The sequence below is a fragment of the Homo sapiens genome, chromosome 6 (assembly GCF_000001405.40).
Source record: "Homo sapiens chromosome 6, GRCh38.p14 Primary Assembly".
NCBI lineage: Eukaryota > Metazoa > Chordata > Mammalia > Primates > Hominidae > Homo > Homo sapiens.
Window position 1 is genome coordinate 90,931,349 of NC_000006.12, and position 24,867 is coordinate 90,956,215.

The following is a 24,867-nucleotide window of genomic DNA, read 5'->3' on the forward strand; positions in this document are numbered from 1 at the left end:
CAACTTATGCAAGAAGGGAATGTATTGAAAGGATTTGTGAAAGCTTGGAGTTGCTAATAGAGTCTAGTAGACCTATGGTGGAAAAAAGAAAAATCCAGGCAACTCCAAAAGGTCTAGTTGGCAAAACCACTCCACAATACAGGCAAGACACCATCAATGGAAAGAACAAATTCCTACTTTATTTAATAAATGTTTATTGGGTACTCATAAGATCTGGGCAGGGGGATACTACAAGGAATGAACAAGAGTCCTGGTCTTGTGCTCTTATATTTTAGTGAGTAAATAGACACAAAACTAATAAATAAATAAGTATGTAATACTCCAAGAAGTGATAAGTGCTAAGAAGAGTTCTGAAAGGAAATATAGTAACAGAACAGAATACTGAGGAAGGTACTAGAAACCCTGTGGGGAGAGTTTGGCAGAAAGAAGGAAAAGGAGCTGCAAAATGTGTTTAAGGAGCAATAAGGAGAGGGTGTGGCCAGATAGAGAGTATGAAGGGCAAAGTGATGGGAAAATAAGAGTGTCAATTGCTCCTCTGACCTCGGTCTCTCCGCTTAAGGGTTAAAATCTCTGGAGAAAGAATCTGTTAGCTGACCTTAAAACTTGTGCTCACTCCTTAGCGGAATAAGGAAGAGAAGAGGCATAAGATAGTTGAAGAATTTTATAGAGACCTTTTTAGCATCATGGGAGGGGGATCAGGGCAGTTGGATTCACCATCCTTCTTAAAGGAGGAGGGGAAAGTTTTCAAAGAAGAAAATTTAGGGTATAGTTAGGAAGGGGGATTAATGTTGAATGTTGAATTACAAATGTCCCCATGACCAGTTAGCATAAGTGACCTTTGTGCTCCTTTTCAACACTGTGGTGGATTGAGTGGTGCAGGTGAAAGATGGAAGCAAGAGGGGAAAGAATAAAAAGCTGACAAAGTGAGATGTCCCCCACCATCGGTCAGCACCCCTCACTCCTGCTCTGGCTTCTACCTTCTGCTCCCTATTACCATGTGGGTAATACACAGGTTGGTCACAAGGAACAGAGGCAAGACCTGTGGGGGGTGAATTATTACAAGGGATAGATATAATGGGAAATAATGAGGCACAGGCAACTGGCTGCTCACAGCTGAACAGCTAGGAGATCTGACATGCTCTGGGACAGCAGTAGCCACTCTAGGAGGCAGCACCTTGGAGTGGGTTTGTCCATCACTTCCTCATTCTCAAGTCACCTTCTTTCAGCCTCTTCTACTGAATCTGCTTCTATGCTATTCCTAACTCCCCCTCTTGTTTTGGCTCTTTGAGAGCTTCTGCATGCCGCTTTTTCTCCACAAACCATTTCACATCAGCTCTGCTCCACATCTGATCTGTGGGTGACTTACATTCAAACTCCCTGAGAGAAGAGAGGATAGGATTGATCGGTTGTCCTTATTTATTGCAGTCTTGTTATTGTGTGAATTTCTTCTCGCACAAGGTGATGCCACAGGCTGATGGCCAATGCATGTCAGACTGCTTTAGATTCAGATACTAACCCTTGATTTAGGCATCTAGGAAAAACAGTGGGGTCTCAGAAACCAAGGATCATGCCTAAGGAAGTGTTTATGGATGCTTTATTCAGAAGGAGTTGGTGAGTGTGGCAGGTGCTCAGGGTTTCTTAAGACTTTTTTTCTAGTGCTAAAAAAATGCCAACATCAATATATAGAATGCCTGCTGTGTGACAGGCATTTAAAACACATTATTTCTGGCTCTGAGAACAACCTTACCATGTAGGTATTATTATTCCTTTTTTTTTAACTTCAAAAATCACACAGCTGGTAAATGAATGAGCTAGAATTTGAATTCAAAGTGTCCATTTTCTTTGATGACATTATTAAAAGTTCTTTAAGTATATAGACCTCTGAGTATGAGAAGGCCTTTTTGTAAAGAAACAGCAACAGCACAGAAAGTTCATATACTATAAAAAGCTAAAAAAAATTTTGATGGACCATAAGGCATGCACGCATTCATTTGTCAATTAATTAATCCATAAATGACTTTAAATGGGTACTGTGAACAAGGGACTAAAAAAATGAGTAAAAATAATCTTACCAGATACAAATCCAAATGGTTTCATATGAAATAGTACTAACTGTACTGTTTTGCATCAGAATGTCTGAATACTAACTATGAAAATCTGGCTAATACTTTTTTGCAAGACAGACAATTGCTTAACAATGAAGAAAGAACAGAGAAATCTTATGGGAAAAAATGTTAATGTAAAATACTCATGTAAATTTTGAGATTGACAATTTTATATAACTTTTTCCTGGAGCTCATGAAAAACTATTGTCCCAAAACATTTCCTCAATGGTAACAGGATCCTATTCTGTAAAGCCCAGCAAATATAAGGTAAAGAAATCAAGCTTTCTTTCAAAATAATGCCATTTGCCATGGAAAGAACTGTCAATGAGAACAAATATTTTTAATATGCCAAAAATGTAGATGCTTTGTCTTTTTTCTCATTTTTTTGATCAAAAGCTAGAAAAGAAGATATTAAGAAGAGAGAGCATATTGTATATGAATCCTAATTAAATAGGTATAAATTCACAGGGATCCAACCAAAATGTGTCACTTTAGCTGATAGGTGAACACCAATTGTACTCTCCTTGGTTAGTGAAGAGAAACTATGGAAATAGAAGCCTGGGGCTGGTGCCCCTGAATGAGCCCCGGTGTTGTAATAAGTTTTCAAAATAATTCTTAAAAATCCTTAGCAGATTTCACTTTTTAAAATGGTCAAGGAAATTACCACATCTACATGTAGCGTAAATGACCAATTGTGGATATAAATTGAAGCAGTTCGGAGAAAGGGATTGTTCACAGATCTTTGCTGCTTCTGTGAGAGAGCTTATCATTACATTCCGACACAGCTTTAAAATACCTCAAAGTGCCCCCACCATAGCCTGCCTGCCCCGTGTCCCTTGACTCTTTTCTCTACAACTGAAAACCACCTTTTCTCTTAGCCTGTGGCTGGCTGGAAGGCTACGGAATGTGAGTTTAATCACAGATTACCATTTTCTACTTTTTCTGTTTTAAGCCAGTTATACTGCTGCTGTCTTAACAGAAATAGTCAAGACTATAAATATATCTACCAGATATCAATTTAAACACATAATGAAAAGTGAAGCAACAATAAATTCACATCTGAAAGTCTTGGGTTTCACCTTTCCCTGATGGGACGAGGTAACATTTACTGAAAACAAAAATAATAATCACAATTGAAAAAAAAATTCTATTAGGAATAGAAGCTCTAAGAGGAAAAAGATTATATCATGAGGAACATTGTACGTTTCTTTTAGCTCATGAATTTAACATGAAAAATGTCTATTGGCTTTGTTTTTCGGGCTGTAGACTTTTTAAATCTTTAGGAATGCTGCCGCCCAATTGTAGGGGCTGCTGTTCAGTTAAAGAGAGGATACTGTGAATATGAGAGGAAGCAGAAAGATTCCGTAAATCATAAGGAAAACAATCCATGGCACTTTGGTTTGTGCTATCTCGAGGCCACGATAGATAAAGAAATGAGAGACCTGGCTGGTTTCCGTTCAGGAAGTTGCTGGAAGGTGATTGAAACTTTGATTAGCCTGAGCCATGGACAGAGAAAAGAGCTTTGTTCTTCTCTTCCTATCTCCAGCTTGGGTAAAAATACTCACTCTGTTTTGGAAGATTATGAAGAAAGTCTAGACTATAGTAACCTTTCAAATAGTGACATGAAGTTAGGATTAAGATGCTGGAGGCTTCTTTTTAAGACATGGGTGGAAGTTCAGCAGGAGGGCACATGAGAAATGCAGCTGGTGCCTAATCGCCACGTTTGAGGCCTTCAGCTAACGCTTCGCTAGAGGAACTAGGATTTTCTGATTAACTTTGTAGAAGAAGTGTCGGAAATGCTTTTCAACACGTAGGTTGTGACATTAACCTCAGCATAAAAAACCCCTGTATGCCTTCTGGGTCAGAAATCAGAGGGGCTTAGCATTCTCCAAATCCCCAGTGATGACGACTAAGGTGGATTCAAAATTAAGACAGATAATTTCCTAAAACAAGGTGCTCTCATTCTGTTTCCCCAAAGTTCCAGCAATTGACATTGTGTGTGCTGTGACTGGTTTTTGAAACCAGATAACTATGTGCAATAGAGAAAAAACACCTCAGCTGCGAATATAATTTGCTGTCTTCTACTTTTTATTTAAGTTGATGAGGAAATACTTGGAAAAAAAAACCCCACCCACTTCACCTTGTCTTTATCTCTATTTTTATTGTTTCTGGAGATAAATTCTGAGGGTAATTTTGATAAACATCCTGGAGGCCTTGGCCGTTCTAATTGTGTCATCGAACTATAGGGATTTCCTTGGCCTGAGAACCACCCAACCCAAGTTGCGAAGTTCTGAATACCTCTACAAGGCCAAAAGCTCTACAGCAGAGATGCAGCATAATTAGCTCTTCTGTTATACTCTTGAACAAAATGTCAGTTCAGAAACCTGAAGTGTGTGCTAATGACAAGGGCCCAACTGTCCCATAAAACTAGGAAAGTGGTGTTTGTTGTCGATTTCAAGAACTGGAAATCAAAATCTTAATGACACAGGAAATGCTCTTCAAAGGCCAAGAAGTCTTAGTGAAAGATAAGAGGATCAATCAGTCTTAAATGCGAGTTTACTAAGAGTGAGAGGTGGGATGCTGCCAGCATGGATATGTATTTTGAAAGGAATGAATAAAACTCAGCAATAGCGTTAATTTTACTTTGAAGTATATAATGAAACCCCTCAAGTACGGAGACTTCAACACCCCTTTCCCAAAATGACCAAAATTTCCATTTTCGAGCATTTTTCTTTCTGCCTTTTTCCGTTCCCTGTCTTAACAGAATTTTAAAAGAGCAGCTAATAAATGAAGTATACTTCAGTTTCATGTAATGGATTGGATCAGAAGGGAACGGATAAGATGATATTGGAAAAGCAGGTGGGGGTCGAAAAGCTGCCAAAGTGCTAAGCTGTATGGGTTCAATTGATTTCTGGCGTGCAGAACCCAGTCCCCGGATCATTCCAGCAAATGAGAGGAAAGCACTCCCTGTTCTGTTACAATTGCCAGCTCTTCTCTAGGGACTGGTTACCAGCAGGGCCAGAGGTGATGAGGGGGAGATAAGGCCAATTAAGAATTCAGACTGGGGAAGCAGGAAACAGAAGCCACAGGGTGAATTCCAAAGGGGAAGATGGGAAATGAGACTATGGGTCACTGTAAGCATTCAAGGTAGAATACAAATATGAGTTTTAAACCCGCTTTAGAGAAACTCATTTTAGTGGGAGTCAGGATCAAAGGAGGCTGAAGCTTTGCAATGTGGTTTCCAAAGGCAAGGCACCGGGGCAGAATAACTGAGTAGAAACTTACCATTAAAACCTAGCCCACTGCTTATCATCCTTTCTGTGTTCTTGGCACACTTTGGGATATTAGAAATTTTAGTGGTGTACTTGAAGGAATTCAAAAGCTCAAAACAAAACTAAGCAATTCAGCAATAATTTCAACCCAATCACCGCTATGGTGTGACTATAATGGCACCGTGTTCATAATAGCACCCCAGGGATTGGGAGCTAGACGGGCCTGCCGTGAAGGGTAGACAGATGGAGCTCTGGGTACTGGCTCAGTGACACTAGGCCCCTTACTTAATGACTCTCGTCATCAGATTCTGCATCTATAAAATGAGGAAGAAGAGTGGACCCCTTCAGAGGGGTGAGATGGAGAGGTCACTGCCCCTGGCCCTTGTGAGTGCTCATCCTGACGCTGGCCTCTTGGACCCCCACTCCCACCTGTCACTGTCCCCTCTTCACTGCCCTGAGAACACTCCCGCAGTGCTCCAGAGGCCAAGTTCTTGCCTGGCCAGTCAATATGAAATCGTTCTTGGGCAAAGGTGCACTGTCTTTTACCTTACTCACAGCAAGCTGTAGTTTTGCTCTTACTAAATCACAAGACCCACTCAGCAAAAAATTCTTTCTGACATCCGTGGTAATAAAAGTATATGCACTTGAGTAGCAAGGACCAATTTCATACACTGAACAAAATTTGGGAGCATAACTGAAAGGATTCACAGCATACCAGGGGTCCCTGAGCTGGCTGTTCGAGAATGATATTTGCAGGAAAAAGACGAAAGCTTAGTTTTCTCCCTAAATGAAGGCTTCCCTTCTACCCTAAATAGTGGGCTGATAAATGACTTAATTGTTCTGTCTTCAAGCTGGCTGCTGCCAGGCATTGTAGAGTCTATCTCGTTTTTCCCTTCTTGAAAGCAACCCTTTGAGGCAGGTGATGTTACTGTTTTTCAAAGTCATTTTATAGGCAAGAAAACTAAGGATTAGAACCATTAAGTGACTTCAAATCCAAGTCTTTATGATATCAAAGCTTCTGCTCTAACTGGGTGGTTCTCAATCGTTAGTGAACATCAGAATCACCTGGAGGAACTTGTTAACACCAACTGTTGGGCTCCATCTCCAAAATTTCCCTTTCAGTAGGTCTGACTTGGGGGTCTGAGAATTTGCATTTCTGTTTCCCTGAATGCTAAAGTTTCTGGTACTGGGACTACAGTTGAGAAACATTACTATGTATGTCCTGAAACCCTTGTTGATTCCCTCCAGAAACCAAAAGAAAATGCACATGTATATTCCTAAAATGAAAACATAACACTTTTATGGGAAATCAGAAAAAAAATCTTCATCAGAAAAACTTTGATAACCCTAGTCCTAAATTAGATAGTCACAATACACGCTATATAAAATGACTTCTTCAGCTTCAGAAGGTTTTTTTGTGGTGAGCTTTGTATTTCCCATGATGCCTAAGGCATATAACTTTGGTACTGCTTTGCCTAACTTTATGATTTATTGTTGTCATTTGGAATAAAATACTTCTATGCTTAGTACAACAAAGCAAGAAATGCCTGCCTAGAAATGGTTGTGGTTTTTCAGTGGTAACACCATTGGTATGATGTTTATTTGTTTGTTTCTGAGGTTTTGAAAATTGCTTTAGAAAGCCTGGGGGCAGAAAGCTTCACTTAATTAAAATATTTTAAATCAAACCACAGGAACTTCAGTTCATAGAGCCTCAGGGTACAGCCAGCAATTGTAAGAAACTCAAATGGAATAGGGTGGATAAATATAATAATATGGGGTATAACTTTCTGTTATTATTTCTGTTAACTGCGTTAAAGTAATTAGGCAACAGAAATAGTAAACTGAAAATCTTTAGTTAACTATTGGAATTCTGAGGCTATTTATAAATTGCTACACAACTGGTTTAGTGTTTCCCAGAGTGGCCTTGTAGTATTGGGAATAATGTTCCCAGGATGCTCAGTGAAGACAGGATTCCCTTTGAAGATAACTTTGGGAAATATCACACCACTCTCTCAGAAATAGACATTGCCCACTTGCTTAGGAAAGGCTCTTAGAAGTCCTGCATAAAGCAACCCACTTGACTTTGTCTAAACCATCATTTCTGTTTTTCAAGACGTTTTGATCACACAGCTTCTGATTCCCCTCTCACCCCAAGTAAGACCATTTTATAACCTATGGAACGGAAAAAGAAACTCCAGATAACACATATGTTTATTTTTCAACCAATTATATGTATATATTGTGAAGCCTTCCTCCCCTCACCCCCTGCCCCTGATTTCCTACTCCTTCCCAAGCGTTGACTATTTCTCTTTGCTGAAATAAGAACTTGAACATATACTACTTGCACACATTTGATGGCTGAAACAAGGCGCCAGGGATACTTGGGTTGCTTTCTGAGTTTATCAGTAGGTAGGATTCAGTAAAACCATGGAAGTTTGTTCTAAATGAAGAAAACATCAGTCAGAATTGTGTAGAGTCCAAAAATAAATTTAATTTCATTACTTCCAATGGATAACTTTATTTCTAGAATGCTGCCTAGGAAAGAACCTTGGGCAAGCCTATTCTATTACTAGAAAGGGATCATTTATAATTACAATAGCATTTGTTTGTCTGCTGAATGTACCTAAATTGCCTGAAAACTACTTACTTGCTCAATCAGTTAAACATTTTTCTCTTTGGAAATATTAATTTGCTTAGCAAATTCACTTTTCCTAGGTACAGGGAAGTAATCTTCAGCCACTTTTCCCCTAGCTAGAGGAAAGGTAAACTTTAACCTAACCATTTTTCTAATTATCACACGTTTTGAATTAATGGGGTCCAAATTAATTAAGGTTTTATTATAGTTTCATCCTTAGGAGACAAGGTTTCATTTCCCTCTTTTGAGATATTTTCCATCTGAATCAAAAGAAGATTAACCTCACTACTCTCATTGCTTGAAGCCAATGGGTTTCAACTTCTTTTTTCCCTCCTCAATGTACCTGAGGGTTACGGAACACTCCCTCTGTAAGGAAAAGATGAGGTGTGTGGGGGGCTATAATTAGGAAAATCTCCCCAGGTGATTCTGATAAGCTCCCTGCCCCTTCTTAAGAATCCTGGCATTAAGGCTTTGATTAAAAACTTGTAACCCTCAGGCAAGAGTGGAATTGGGGCGGGAAGGGCAGTGGAGGCCCTGACAGGACTCCAGCTAAGCAAGTTGGCAGGGGGTTTTGTCACAACTGGTCAGCTAAGGCATGAAGAAGCACAAAGATAACAGGTCAGCCAACAAGCATAAGGCAGAAGATTGCCATAAGCATTTTTAGCATGATTAGCTGTCTCCACCGTATGTACTGAACACTAGCTGCTGATAACCCAGGAGCAGCTGGGAGGAAGGAGGCTGAAGACCTCAGAACAAAACCTGCCTTTGGGGCAAGCAGGGACAGAGACTGACATTTAATCTGCTTGATGCTGGATCTGTGAATGAGATGGAAAAGTAAACTGCATCCAAGTACTTTCCCACTTTCTCCAATCTAGTCCACAGTAACCTGAGGTCTGTGATACAGAAACATCCTGCTAGATATGGGTTCATAAATGATATAGATGTGTACAAACCTTAGAAGAGGCTAAAATGTGATGTTTAGAAGAATTTATCTGTATAATAGAATATTAAGAGAGTCATCAATTAATATTAGGAGACTCACCATAGTCCTTGTTTTCAGTTCCTCTTATAATCTATCTCTTGAGGGTTTAGACAGAACAGCTGGTAATGATAAACAAACACTCAAAACATTTCTTTTGACTTCCAAGCAAAATATTAAATGAGTAAGGTATATATTTCCTTTGATATTGATGTACTGAATCTTACAGGCTATTAACTAAAGCCCTTTGGGAAATACTTTACCTAATGCTGTTATAGTTTTGTCTGTTCTTATTGTTTTATTCTGTTTAAATAAACTTGGATGTTTGTTTAATTATATCTATATTAATTATATCTATATTAAGTTCCTCCTAACTAGTTGTCCACATTTGATACCGTTGTAGCTATCTTCTAATACACTAACTTGAGGGTAGATCTGTTTAAAGGTGAAGACTGCTATAAAAGAGAATCTTCTCTTTTGTCTTGAGAATATCTGAATGCTTAATAGCTGTTATGTTCCCTTGTCACACTGAATTGAGTTTGGGCAACCAGGATTGGGCTAGTTGCAGCTCTATGAACACGAGCAAATCATTTTAGCTCTTTGGGTTTCAGTTTCCTTATCTGTTGAATATGGTTTCTTCCTGAGGCTGCTGTACGTGATTTTATAGGTCAGTGATACTGAATTAAGTTTCAGGTTTTGGACACTAGATGGTGATGTTGTGTTGCAATTTGAAGAAGTCTTCCTCATCTTAGCCAAGGTCGACACTCAGGCTTCATATTTGCTCAGCTTTTAATAAATACGGTGTATGATTAATGAAACTCTATCCATGAAACATACGTAATTGATCATGGAAATAACACAAATGGAAGAAGAAACCAAAAATAACTCTAGCTCCTTTTTTCATCCTACTTATATGTTAGGCAATTTATAAATCTATTGAGGCTTTAATGGCAGGCCTAGGCTCCTGATGCCCACTTCCTGTTTCTCACTTCTCTCATTCATCCTTTTGGATTCCTAAAACTACTCACCTCAGAAGTGCTTATGAGACTTTAGGCTGCCTGTTGAGATATCAGAAATATACAAATGAATGCAATTTTTGTTCAGAAAAACCTCCCTATAAGTACATTTCCTCATCCTAAGTCAAACAGCCTGAGAACAGTTCTCTCAGAAGCCTCTTCATGGATGATTTCCTGCTTGTTTACAAATCAGCAGTAGAAGGAGAATGAGTTTACTAAAGTGGTGGCTGCCTTTCTCACTCTTCCTGGGAGTGAATTCTTTTGAGCTCAAAACACAGAAGGACATAAGAGTTCCTAGAACTCCCTTTTTTTGGGTCCTCTGTTTCCTGACTCTGAGTCTGCAGATTTTCCTGATGGTTTTAGGCTGGATGATGGCAATCACATAGCCACTCTACTATGGTTCTCTCATAGCTACTCACAGAGCCACTCTGCTGCAGGATAACTTGCTCATGAAAGGAAATGCCAGATTAAACCCCTTGCCACCCTGGACCTGGGTCCTCCAAACATGGAATAGGTATGTGGGGGAAGGAATGAGTTCATTTTGAGCAATTTAACACATATTTTAATGTAATTATACCCCATTAAAAAAAAGTAGCTTTTCCCCACAGTGGCATACTCCTTTACTGACATGAATGAGTAATTGGAAATGGGGAAGGCCTTTCACTGGCGATCCTGTGTGCTGTCTCAGCAAGATAGCTGTACCAGACGGGGCTGGGGCAGCGATATCACTCTGGTAGGTACCGCTCCCTCAGGCACGGTTGTCCTGATTTATGAAACTGGCAGTTGTCCTGGTTCTTATGATAGGTTGGGTCATCGTATTACATGACCTAACCCTGAATCTCAACCAGAGTGAGTAAATCTCTGCTATCTTTTGGCTAGATGACACAATCAATTGTCACTTTACTTTTCTTTGACTTACATACTCGAACACATAGAACTATAATTCACTTGAGGCTTACAAAAAGAAAAATGGTTTTAAATTTGAAATGTTTCACTCCCAGCAGAAAAAGCTGAAGGAAAATTAACTTGACTCTCATAGTCCAGTAATTTAAGGCTAAGAGAAAAAAGGTCCCTTTATACAGTCCAGAAACATCTACCTTATGGAACATTTTAATTCCTTGGTCTAAGGAACCTAAGGCAGAGATAGGCTCCCGGAGGACCTGAGACTCAGAATTTACAAATTAAATTCTTTCCCATTCATTCAGCAATAGAAGAAATACAACTAAAGAATGCAAAGAAACAAAAAACTTTGAGACAAATGCAAAGGGAACTTGGAGTTAATTTTATATAGCCAGAAGAATGGATTCATAGGGGTAGCACAAAGACCATTTTTTAATGAATTGAGCCTGTACTTGAGTGATAGCAAGGAGATAAATATAATGTGGAACTTGGCATGAATGAATAGAAATCCTCACAGCTACTAAAGCCATGTCTCTTTTAGCTTCATTGTGTAGTTACAACAGAGCAGTTTAAAAGACCAGAATAAATGTGACCTGAACATTTGTCTGTCTTAGGTTTTATGAGTACAATTTGAACTAAACTGTGCCAAATCAGTAAAGAAAACTATGAAAATAAATACGTAATAGTCTAGCATCGTATTTAAAATGTAATATAGCTCACTAACCAAATAGACCCCAGATTTAAAATACATTTCAAATATTATTTAGGGTATTTTGGGATCATTTTTTTTCCCAGGTACAGCAGATAATGGCAAATTCAGTAGGACTTGGTAAGAGAATTTCATCAGAAGCAATAAACAGGCAGAGTGAAAACTGATTATATTCTGATTTATGTAGTTCATTCATGTTCTGAGCTGTTTGTTCTGGCAAATGTACATTCCCTGATTCAAAAATTTCTATAAAGGTGATTTGGTTCAAAAAAAAGGTTTTATGTCTAGGGACCATACAGATTTTAATCATCTTCTTTGTGCTCTGTTCTGTGTCTTCTTTGTGAGGCTTTTCTACCCTTCAGCACTATTGTTTCTCAAGGATGATTTTTATCAAGAAAAACACGCAGAGAGTAGAAGAAGATTTAAATCTTAGTAGAGGTTTATTTTAGTTTATTATTATTTTTTAGTTTAAGCTGGCTTGGTGAAATTAAAAACAACAACAACAACAACTCTTCCCAAAGCAAATGTAGTATTTGAGAATAACATAGGAATGGGTCCCTAACACATGAGCAATTATTATGGTGAGGAGTGAGATTCTGTTCACTCACTGCAAGAAGGGGATGCTTTCATAATGTCTCTATGTGGTGGAGGAGAGGGCTGGAGTGAAAGCTGGGATCAGGTGTCACGGGGACATCAGTCACTCCTTCAGCAAATAGGATTCTGAGTTGTTGCTGCTCAATCTAGGGCTCAATACAGCAGTGAATAAGTGAACCACTTAGGGGAAGCCAAACACTGAATGACTGATTATGTGAAGAATGAATGTTGTGGTGATATGTAGCATACTTTATTTTATTTTTAACTTTTTCAGTTTTTGTAGAGATGGGGTCTCACTTTGTTGCCCAGGCTGGTCTCAAACTCCTGGGCTCAAACAATCTTCCCACCTCAGCCTCCCAAAATGCTGGGATTACAGTGTGAACCACTGTGCCTGACCAGTGTAGCATACTTTAGAATACACACAATAGGAGAAAGAATAGGACAGAGTTAGCCCAGTGAGGAGCCAGATGGGCAGGAGATAAGTGTTTTTGGCTAAGGAAACAAAGCCTGTGGAGACAGAAACCAAGAGGAAGAGTGGCATGTGATTGGGCTGGTGAGGCCAGTGCAGTACTTACAGTCCATATTGAAAATGTTGGTCTCTAGTCTAAGAATAATGGGAAACCTTAGAAGTGTTTCACAAGACCATTGCTCTAGCCACTGACCTATGGAGTCACTTAAAAGTATTTTAAATAGAGGGGTGTCGTCATCAGTTTTGCCTCTATAATAATATTCTGATTATACTGTTTTATAGTCAAACATGAAATTTTTCTGCTATTTCTAAATTCCAGGAGGAAAGTCTCATTATAATTCTTATATAATGGCACAAATTCATTCAAGTTGGGAACTGACTTTATTACCTAATCTGGAGAAGGCCGTTAGTCTTTTACATGGCGATAGAAATTTGTATTATGGTAACTAACATTGTAAAAAGATAGTCAATTTATAAAGAACTGCTTGTTAAAAGAAGCTTTATTCTTCAAATTCTATAAAAGAAGCTTTTAAAAAGTAACCTTTCTAGTGTTTTAATATTTATTCTGGAAAATTTAAATGTATTTTTGATAGGATAATAATGTACTCACTTGACCACCTCTTCTAATTTCCAACACTATAATTTTTCTCATAGGCTTTGTTTAATCTTAAAAATCCAATAAGCAATATAAAAACAGAGATATAAAGACTCATTACACTATATGGACCCACCGGAAAGTCAATAAGCAATCAACTTACTGAGCCCTCTGAGATATGATATTTTTAAATGCAGTAATGTGAATGGTGAAAATTTTTTGGAGGTTAGATCAGTTTAATTCTGGTTTGTATGGATATTGCACAGAATAGATACTGCTATTGTTGTCATCTTTTCACTTCAGTCTGTAAAGTAAGAATTCCATCATCTGCCAGAATTACCAAAATCAGGATGTTTCTCCTTATGTATAAATGTGTGTGCACGTGTACATATATGAGCATATGTATACTAACACATGCAGTTGTGCAAGAAATGTCATATTATCTTTCTGTATTATTCTGTATTTTTCTGTATTATTTTTCTGTTATCCTGAGTGCCCACCACACCAGGGTGGCAGGGAATTTAGTCTCCTTCGTTACTATGTCTCCCTTCCTGGGAAGATTGATACAAAAGCCCGGAATTTTATTATGTTGGTGCAAAAGTAGCTGCAGTTTTTGCCATTAAAGCAATGGCAAAAACAGCAATTACTTTTGCACCAACCTAATATATGCAGTAGTATGTTCACAGACCGCCCTCTTGTTTTCAGGTCACAGTGGTCACACTGATGTCATTATGGTTCTCAAAAAATGGTGGTTCTTCTTGTTCCAGGCCAGGTTGGTTTCAGAAATATTTGCTGAGCCTGAGAACTCCAAACCAGCTTCACTTGGGGCACCACAAAGCAATTGCTTTCTGTGGTCCTGAGATGTTCCTGGGACACACTGTGGAGAAAGACACAGGCCCTGCTATTCTCCACTTTCTACCTGACCTTGAAAAGTCTTTGAGAAAGTCCTTTATGAATTTAAGCATTTGAAACCAAAGCCAGGGGGTGGCCCAGGGATGTTTTAGTCAACTTTTGCTTTCAGCCCTAAAACACAGGACACAACTCTGACTGGGAAAAGGACAAACGCAGTAAGAATTAACTTAAAAATGTCAAAGATTACCCAACCTACATGTGTTCATTTTTGCAAGGGAGATGCATATAATAATAATTAAAGAATGATGAAAATTATAGCAGGTAGGAAAACCCAGCACCTGCATGCTTTCCATAGGCCAGCCCACAATGACACTGAGAGATTAACAGGTGCTATCTCATTTTCTCCTCATGGCCCCGAAAGGCAGGCACTATTGTCCTTACCTTAAGGATAAGGAGATTGTAGATTTCGAAAGGTTAAGTAGCTTGTTCAAGGTCCTACAAGTCCTCTGTAGGGGGCTAGAATTGGTCAGTGTCTGGGGCTCCGCTCTCAACCCTATGCTCAGCTTTTGCGTCTCATAGGAATCGCTCTTAAAGCTTTTCACTAAGATAGACGTCCATCTGTCTGCTCCAAAGCAACAGGAGAGAACTTGAGGAGCATGCTTTTTTTTTTTTTTTTTTTTTTTTTTTTTGCCACCAAAGTTCTTTTGGTGCACATTTCCAGTAGATTGCACATCTCCTGAAGGTCTGTTAAAGGTGGTCAGAATACAACAATGAATTCAGAATAAAATTGATTTAAAGACTTGTTTACATAGCTGATATTGAAACATGGGCTCTAAGGTAGATATATTTTCCAACATGAAACCGAATGTACTATTCTTGCTTTTATCTTCATGTCTACATGTTTTCTCAGTCTAGATCAAGTTTTTAGCCCTGTGAGGACTTATGTAAGACATTTAACGTCAGTTTTAACATTAGACGACTTAGTTATAAATTTGTTTTGTAGATAAAACACTATGCATAATTTTGTAATTTTTCTCTTTAGGCTAATGAATGAAAAAACAAGCTGTAGCCTAAATCTACCAATGTCAATAAAAACTAATTTACTATCCTTCTGCTTTGCCACCTCAAGTACTTTTCAAAGCTTTCAAATTATACTGAATTTAATATACATACATATAAATGTACATACATGTATATATACATATATATGCACATATATATATATAAATAGGTAAATGTGTTTGCTTTCCTTGGCATGTTTCAATATATACATGATATTATAATATCATTATTAATTTCAATGTAATTTCAATGATACATTATCTAATAGCTATGACTATTTATGACCCACACTATTCTAATGGGTATTGAGCACATTTTGATGAAATATACTGTATACCCTGAAAGTGGTCTTTTGTCCTGTTGTGGGATAGCCATCTATGACAGGCTGGAATTAGCTTGGGATTTTTGTTAGGCACTTTACCTGTAGGCCAGCAAAAATCCTGACCAACTACCAGAAGGGGCTTTCATTCACTCTCTCATTCTGGTGTTGATGGCAGTTGCCGGCCATCTGGAGCCGTCACTGCCATCACGCTGGCTGCAGCCGGGAAGGCGTGGGCAGTGGCAGCAGGGGTGGCTGCAGGAGCAGCAATGGCAGTGGTTGGTCCCCTGTGCCCCACATCCCCGATGCAGCTGACTGAGCCGCCCCTACCCTCGCACGGTGGGGCGGGATTTGCTCCCAGGCCTGGACCCTCTGCTGCTTCGGACCCTGGCCCCATGTTGCTGCTCTCCCCGGCTGCTGCTGCGGGGAGGGTGCAGCGAGGAGGCAGAGCTGGGCCCAGGGTGGTGCTGCGCTCCATGGAGCCAGCGGGAGCCGGGGACAAGCGAGAGCCATCCCCTAGGAGCCCACCGCCCCCGGAAGCCGCCGCAATGAGGCCAGGCGGAGCCGCCTATTAGCGCGGGAGCAGCAAGGTAGGGCATGGAGGGGCGGGCAGAGAGGGCCTAAGAGAGAACCTGGAGCTCCTGCCCCAGGCTGGAGGAGGTGTAGCCAGGGCTGCCCGCATGCTCCACTGAGCTGATGGGAGTTCTGCCTTCCCAGGCACAGGACCCGGGCGTCTCTGCAGTCTGCACCCATGAGTGCCTGGGAAGGCCCCCCTTTCCCATGCAGGCTGGGGAGTGTCTTCTCCCGCCGCCTGGCCTCTCCCTAATCCTGGTGCCCTGTCCAATCTCAGAGTGGGGTTGGGGCTGAGCCCAGTCACTGCCACAGCCTGGCTGGGTGTGCACAGACTTGGTGCACTGCTGACACACCAACGCCATGCTGCCTTGGCCCCTCCAGGTTTTGGGCATGGATGAGTATGGGAGGAACCCAAGGGCAGTGTAAGTGTGGCTACCTGCTGGCCTGCAGGTTCCCCTTGGCGTGAGCAGCCTGGGCACCATGGACAGTGGCAGGAGGCAGACAGGCTTCTGGGCAAAGGGAGTGGGTCCCTGGTGAGGCCCCACCTTCATGCCAGAGAGGGCCTGAAGGCTGGACGCTGGGGTGCCAGTCCTACAGACCGAAGTGGGAACTTGTGGTGCCTTTTCCTGGCCAGCCCATGGCTGCCCACGGACAAATCTGTGCATTTCCTTCCCTCTGAGGCCCATAAAACCCTGGACTCAGCCAGACTCAGAGGAAGGAGAGCTGAGGAGACTACGGGACAACCAGCTGTAGAGAGCAACTACCCTCTCTGCTGGGAGCTGAACACTTGTCGGGACTCCCTGGCTACAGAGAGGAGCTGCCCACTGCGGGTCTCTTCTGAGCTGTTCTACTGTTCAATAAAGCTCTTCTTCATCTTGCTCACCCCCTACTTGTCTGCATACTTCATTCTTCCTGGTAGCAGGACAAGAACTTGGCACCTGCTGAATGGCAAGACTAAAAGAGCGATAATACAAACAGGGCTGAAACATGCCCCTTGCTCTCCATGTTACAGGCAAAGAGGAGAGAAGAGCTGTGGCTCTTTGGGAGCTCTCAGAGCCAGGGCTGTAATGCCCTCTTTGAGGCCCTGCAGTTCCTGGCATCTCCAAGCTTCTAAGCACCACTGTATTCCCTGCTGCCAGCCTGCTGCCAGCCAGGGAAGCTGGTTGCAGTGTGCCTGGTCCAGCCACAGCCTTGCAGAGAGCTGGTGCCTGTGACGGTACATGGAGCTGCCCAACCCGCGGCAGTAGCATCTGACTATGCGCAGTGGCCAGAACTCACACTGGCTCGTGTACCCCTCGCCACTCCACGCCTGGCTCACCCTTGGCAGGTGTGGATCCAGGTCAGTAGCATGAGCCTAGCACAGCCTGCCTGGCTGAGTGGGTGGAATGAGCCCAGCAGGCCTGAGCAAAAGTCGGGCAAAGGTGCCACCGGCCACAGGTTTCTGGCCAGAAAAGTGACACTCCAGGGATCCTGTAACAGTGTGAGGGAGTCACCAGGGGAACACTTACTTCCCTCAATTGTGTTGTTGAAATGAGAGAGCAATAGGATGGGGAAGATTCCAACCATTGGACAACAACCTAAACATTCTTCTATTACAGCATCAGCTCTGATTGCCTTAGATTTTTGAGGAAATACCTTTTGCCTCATTAAACTGAGGATGGTTTGTACACAAGTTATTCCATATAGACTAAATCCCAAGTCTATACAGAGAAATCAGCTATGTTTGCGAAGCAGCTCTGTGGGCAATGGGGTAGCTCGTTACCTCTATAAGAATGTGGTTGCGCAGGATCAACTCCTACAGAAACGTGAATGTGATGTTCTTGATGATGTTTAGCTCCTCGCTGTTGATCCAATGATCCCTTTTAATAAGCAACGATGGTATTAGGTTGGTGCAAAAGTATTTGTGTCTTTTGTCATTGAAAGTAACAGCAAAGCCTGGGCGCGGTGGCTCACGCCTGTAATCCCAGCACTTTGGGAGGCCGAGGCGGGTGGATCACGAGGCGGGTGGATCCTGGTTAACACAGTGAAACCTCGTCTCTACTAAAAATACAAAAAATTAGCCAGGTGTCGTGGTGGGCGCCTGTAGTCCCAGTTACTCGGGAGGCTGAGGCAGGAGAATGGCGTGAACCCGGGAGGCGGAGCTTGCAGTGAGCCGAGATTGTGCCACTGCACTCCAGCCTGGGCGACAGAGTGAGACTCCGTCTCAAAAAAAAAAAAAAAAAAAAAAAAAAAAAAAAAAAAAAAAAAAAGAGAAAGTAACGGCAAAAACTGCAATTACTTTTGCACCAACCTAATACCTAAAACGGTGTGATGTTTGTCTAGCATAATTGTGAAAATGACCCTTTTTCGTGCTATTGACTTATAGCCCTCAAATGTCCTTGACATTTACATGCATTCCTATGGCTCTTAAACAGACTTTGTGTTTAGAAAATGTAAAGTATTTCTGCTGCTTCTGATGAAACTTTTCACAAGTCTTCTAAGCAGAAAGTCCTTCCAGTTTGGTGATCCACAGGAGGAATTTGCTTGAATTATTTCCTCCCCTGTTTCTTTTCCTAATAATTTGTAATACAAGTTCTAACATGAAATTAAAATTCTTTTATAATTTCATTATCTAGAAAGTTATTTTGCAGTCTGCTGAGGATCCGATGTTGAAGTACAGCACAGTGTACAAAATAATTCTTGTTTTAATACATTGCTATGGCTCTCAAAGGAGCCTCCGCTTGGCTCAGTTCATCATTAGTTTCTATATTACTCAGGTTTCCAGGTCTTTAATACAAAATGAAAATTAAACAATATTCATTTTGCCAGGGCAGTTCATAGAGAAATTGGTTTTAAAAACCTTATATTTTCCAATTAGAAAGGCTCTTGTAACCATGTCTTGTTTTCCTAGTTGTTTAGAACCCAAACACTAGAAGCCAGAAAACCTTCAGAGAATGGACTCAGAGCCCCCAAGCCCCCATTGCAATACACACCATTACTACTGATGGGCACTAGTTAAAACCTTATGAAACCACTAAGCATATTGCAGGAAACCAAATTCAAACAATATACACCCCCAGTGAGTTCTTCAGGAGATCCAAAGAAACATTTTTAGCTTGTACATAAATTAAAAAATGAGTATTTTTAACTAGTAGTAATTATGGTATTTTGGCTTATTTACATTAGGCCATTTTTGTATTCAAATATCATAAAGCCACATGGCATGGTGAAAAGGCATGAGCTTCGCAGCTTCAAAAATGTTGGACTGAATTCTGTTCTGTACCTTAGAAGAACAAATTGAATTAGCCACTTTAAGCCTCAGTTTACTCATTTGTAAATAAGAGATAATTGTGCTACCTCATAGGGTTGTTATGAGTATGAGATAAAACATAATTGAACACCTAGCATGTAACTTGGCATAGAGCAGCCTCCTATTAGATTTTCCTTTCTTTTCCTTTTACCTATCAATTATTTAAAAATGGAACTGGGTAGAAAAGCATGAAAGTAGAGCCTCCTGAATTTTGCTGCTGAAAGTCAGGCTCAGATATGTGGATCAGACTTTATAAAATCTCACCAAGCCCCCAGCATTGATATTTCTATAGCATTAACAAAAGAGAAAAATGAGATTTTTTTTCTTTCTCTGGCCTATTATTTTTTGATTCTTTTTTTGTTCACTCACTTACAGTGTATTTAAGTGGAAATCACTTCAAGCCCTTGGACCACCCTCCGAAAGCTTTGCTAAATCTCACATTTTTTGGTTTCACTCCAGATACAGTACTGTGTCCCCTACCTTTGAAGTCTTTGAAGTGTCCACATTGTAGGCTGAACCTGTAGTGAAGCCCAAACTGGTGGTTTTGACTGCACAAACCCATGTAAAGCTGGGACAGGTGGATTTGAAGCCTGATATGAGAAGGGGTGGTGTTCGCTTCCCTTTCTTGACCCCCACCTCTCTCCACTCTTAGTCTCTTCAAACACTCCTGCTATAGTCACAGACATATCAAAGACCACTGTACTATGGCTGCAGTGACACTGAGGCTGGAAGTGACTGCTTTACCCGACCATATCTGTTCACTGCCTTAGGGAGTGAACTGAAGCGAGAAGTACATCATCAGGTGTTTTATCGCAGCTGATGACCTCATGTTTCTTTACCTGGGAGAGATTTGAATCAGAAGTAAAGGATGGCATAAGACATTTGGAATGTGGACTATATATTGCAAATTATTATAAAATGTTATTATTATAAATTATATAATAAATATAAATGTGATTTATATTTTTATAGTTCTGCAATGTATAACCATATCTTTTAATTTTATATTATTTTTCAGTTTTAAAAATAAATATGAATGGTATCATACTATACAATTTTGTTTTTAGTTTGGAAGTAGTAGGTTAGTGAAGTTAAGAGCTAGACTGCATTGGAATACTTCTTTGCCACTAACTAGCTGTATGACCAGGTAAATAATTTGCTCTTTCTGTGCCTCAGTTCCCTCCTCTATTAATGAGATTATAATAATACCAATCTCTCAGGCTTGCTACTATTGTGACTTGTGCTTAATATTAAATATTAATAAGAATACAGTTAAATATTATATAAATTAACATATATAAGTCACTTAGAACAACACAAGGCTTTGTGTTACAAATACATTGTAAGCACTATGTATTTGCTCTTATTGTTAAAATTATGTTTAACTGCTATATCATATATTATTGTCTAAATATGCCATAATATATTTATCTATTCTCCTATTGATGAGTATTTACTTCTTTCAATGAGAAGTATAAAAAGAAAATGAACATTTTTGCGTGCAGTGCCTGAATATGATATGCAAAAATATCTGAAGAAGAACACTCAGAAGAGGAATTCCTGGCTTACAGGGTATGAACACCAACAGATTTACTTGTTACTGCCAAATGGCTCTCCAAACAGTCAGGCTAATTCACGCTCCTAATGTCAGTGCATGAGAATTTCCATTGCTGTACATCCTTGCCAACTGTAACATTTTTACCAATCTGGTGGGTGTGAAATGGGAATGAATGGCATCTCATTGTTTACATTTTATTATCAATTGGGCTGAGAGCCTTTTTCAAGTGTTTATTGGCCATTTGCTATTCCTCCTCAGTTTCCATCCATCCCTTGCCCATTTTTTATTGAGTTTTCTTTTCCTTATTGATTTGAAGGAGTTCTTTAAGTATTTTTAGATACTAATTATCTATTCGTTTTATTGATGTAACAGACTGTTCCAAGTCTGTGACTTGTCTTTTAACTTTGATTATACTATCTTTTTGTGAAAAAATTTAAATCTTATAATTAGTTCAATGCATCAGTTGTTTCCTTTATAGGTTGAGCTTTTCTGCAACTTGTCTAGAAAATTCTGCCCTCACCCAAGTTGGTAAAGGCATATGCCTACATTTTTTAATGAAAATTATAAGAGTTTTGGTTTTTATGCATAGATCTTTAGTTCAGGTGGAATTTGTTATTTATGGTGTGAAGTATGTTTCTATTTTTTCCGTATTGATAACCAATTATCTCAACAAAAGTTTTGAGTGCTCTATTTTAATTTTTTCATAGATTTATAATGTCCATTCTGTCATGTAAAAGGTAGCCATATATGCAAAGTGTTCTTTCTGAGCTTCCTATTCTGTTTGATTCATCAACGTGTTTAACTTGCATCAATAGCGTATTTCAAAATAGCTTTAAAATACATTTAATATCTGTTACGGTTTTTTTCACTTTGTTTCTTTTAAAAATAAACTACTTTTGACATTTTGCTCTTTTGTGTCAAGTTCCATGAAAAACTCTGTTGGCATTATAAGCTGAATACACTGGTGATACAGATGAATTTGGAGAAACTTATATCTTTATATATGCCTTCTAATCCACTAGCATGACATAGTGCTCTATTTAGGTCACAATTTATGTGCTTCACTTATATTTTCCTCATATTTTATATTTTTATCCATAAAAATGTTGAGTCTTATTTCTTAGGTGTATTTTGAAGAAGCTAAAGATTTTGCTTGCCATTTTAAATGGAAGGTTGTATTTTTTTCATTTATAATTTTTGATTTGTATATATGGGTATATAGAAGTACTCTATTCTTTTAAAGCCCTAATCATAAGTTTGTAAGTCTCCTTCAATTTTCTGCATAGGCAAGCAGTTTTATTTCTTCATTCAGCCTTTATGTTTTCTATTTTTCTTGTCTTATTGCATCATCTATAATATATAGTGCAAAGTTGAATGGAAACTATAATAGAAGGCTTTTGTGTCTTTTATCTGATGTCAGTATTATGCAGTCACAGGCTGCTGATTGCTGCAGGTTTATTTTACTTTTTTAAGATCAGAAATTTTTATTCTGGTAAAAAACACATAACACATCTTTCTTAACCATCTTTAAGTATACTGGAGCTGTGGGTTTTGATTGATGCCTTTGGTGAGGTCAAGAAAATTTCCTAGAACAGCATTATACTTTCTAACAATTTTATTTTAAATCATGAGTCTTGAATTTTGTTGAACTTGTTTTTGCATATGCTGAGCTAATCATTTAGTTTTTTCTATTTTAATCTGTCAGCATAATATTTTCCATTAATGGCTCATTTTTTATACAAACTATCTTTGCATTCCTGGGATAAATGAAACATGGGCATGGATGAAGATGTAGGGGATGGGATATGTAAAGGTCTCAGAGAAGAGCAGTCCAAGAAGAGAGGTCAGCAAGTATGAAGCTATTGAGTTAGCAGGATGTTTGGTCTACTTGGAAGATGGCTGAGTAGCATGGTCCGATGAGAGTACTATTCCATCTAGGACATCCCTGGTGACAAATTATCCAGGCAAGGAATTCAGTGCTTATCAGGGCAGTGTGCTCCTTGAACATCTCCCTTTATCTTCTACCCTAATTCTTCTATTGATTCAGACCACATATGTTACCCTTTTTTGCTCTTTGGAAGCAGAGCTAAACTTTGTGCTCTCTCTAATTCATAAAGCTACGTCTCTGTGGGCTGAATTTCTCCTATGACAAAATTCTATAATTCACTTCTGGACCTTTTTGGCCAGCATTTGAACCTGACCTATATAGATAGTGGTGAGTGAACAGAAAGTATGCCTGAGACACACTGGACTATTTCCTGGGTCTGTGCTGCTAAATACTATCTTTTATAAGTGATTGGAAGAACACTGGAAACATCTCCAAAATGTGCTAAGTTGATCCTGATTATTGTGAGACACAGGAGGAAAAGATATCATTCTATTTCAAGTGAGTCAAATTAATAGAGATATTATATTTTTCTGGACTTTGTTCAAAAGTAAGATGTCCTGGAAGTCTAAGCATAGTAAACACACTCCTTGTATACTTTGGATCTAAGATTTAGTGCTAAAACTGGAAGGCAAAGAATTGGAAATACTGAGTGGGACACATGTAATACATTTTAAAAAGGCTGGAGGGGGAAAACACTAGAACTCTGTCTCACCTATGTGTGGGGCCAAAGGCAGAACAATCTCTATATGCCTTTTGGGGCAGATAAACCCATCCATCAAGCTGCATCTGGTGCACAGACTGAGGCCTTGACACCTATGTGCTGAAGGATTTATTGGCCTTGTTCAGGGACTCGTAAACCTACTTCTTGGTTTTTCTCTGGCTCCTTGTCCATGCTGTACTTTGAGTCACTAAGCCTATTGGTTATGCTGGTTGGTGTTTCAGTCCTCTCCTTTGTGAAGAAAGAGTACTACACTTTTTATGCCTTTGAGTATCTCAGAGGCTTAGGCAACTCCTTAGCAAAGAAATCTTCATACTCGCCGACAGATGACACAATGACAAAGCAAGGGGATTGTATTTTTCTCTCTAACCTTTGTGTTATCTCTCCGTTTTTACACTTTGCACTAGCGCATAGTTTGGCCTGCTAGTTTGATGGCATTTTTTTTTTCTTTTCTTTTAGGTTCTTCTTTGGAATTGGTGGCTGGCTGCTTGCTTATGAGTGTAGACATGTGACCCAAACACTCCTCCATCACTGCTCTGTGGCCTCAGGTAGCTAACAGCTCAGACACATCCACCTTTGTCATTTGACACCTTAGTTTTGCTCTGCCCTGAGACTACCAAGCATAGGTTTACGTGGGAAGGTGAGGTAAAGTATTTTTGTTTCAAAAGAACTATTTGCCTGAAAAAGCACTTATCTTGAGATTTCTTTAAATGTTAAACTCTCCAAATATCTCTCTAATTAATTCTATTTGTGAAAATTCTATTTAGATATTCAGTAGATGTGGTATGGTATGAATTAGCACGTGTCTATAGCAAATTACAATACTAGATGTAAAACATATTTGAAATGAATTGTTATCATTTTGAAACTGTTCAAATTGATGTAGTATTTTAAAATGATAAGCTGTCCTGTGCTGCATTGAAAATCCCTTGAAAGGTGTGTGGGGAATGTGCTATTGGAGGCACAAAAATGTCTGGTTTTAAAACAATAGTAACAATAGATACATATTTGAACTTTAATGATTCCAAGTATTTTTCTTATAATGTTTCTTATAATTCTCATATTAACCCTTTGAGGTATGTGGTATTTTTACCCCGTAGAGAATCAGGATAGTCCAGTAAATAAAAGCTTATGTCTTGGATCCAGACTGGGTTTTAAATCTGGGCTCTGTTACTTAACTAAATGTGTGAGCTTGGGCAAGTGTTTAACCTCTCTGTGTCTTGTATTTCTTATTGGTGAAACGGGCACTTATCTTTATCGATGATTAAATACATTAAAATATCTAAAACTCTCAGAACAGTTCCTGGCACATAATACTCAATAAATGTTAGTGC

At 39.5% G+C, this 24,867-nt stretch overlaps 1 long non-coding RNA gene across 1 annotated transcript in view; it reads left to right on the plus strand.

Moving 5' to 3' along the window:
- LOC107986623 (uncharacterized) overlaps positions 1-24,523 on the plus strand; it is a 324,476-nt gene extending 299,953 nt beyond the window's left edge. The window contains exon 4 of the long non-coding RNA XR_001744259.1: positions 23,993-24,523. This is a non-coding gene — a long non-coding RNA (uncharacterized LOC107986623). The remainder of the gene's footprint in view (positions 1-23,992) is intronic.
- The last annotated feature ends 344 nt before the right edge of the window (positions 24,524-24,867 follow it).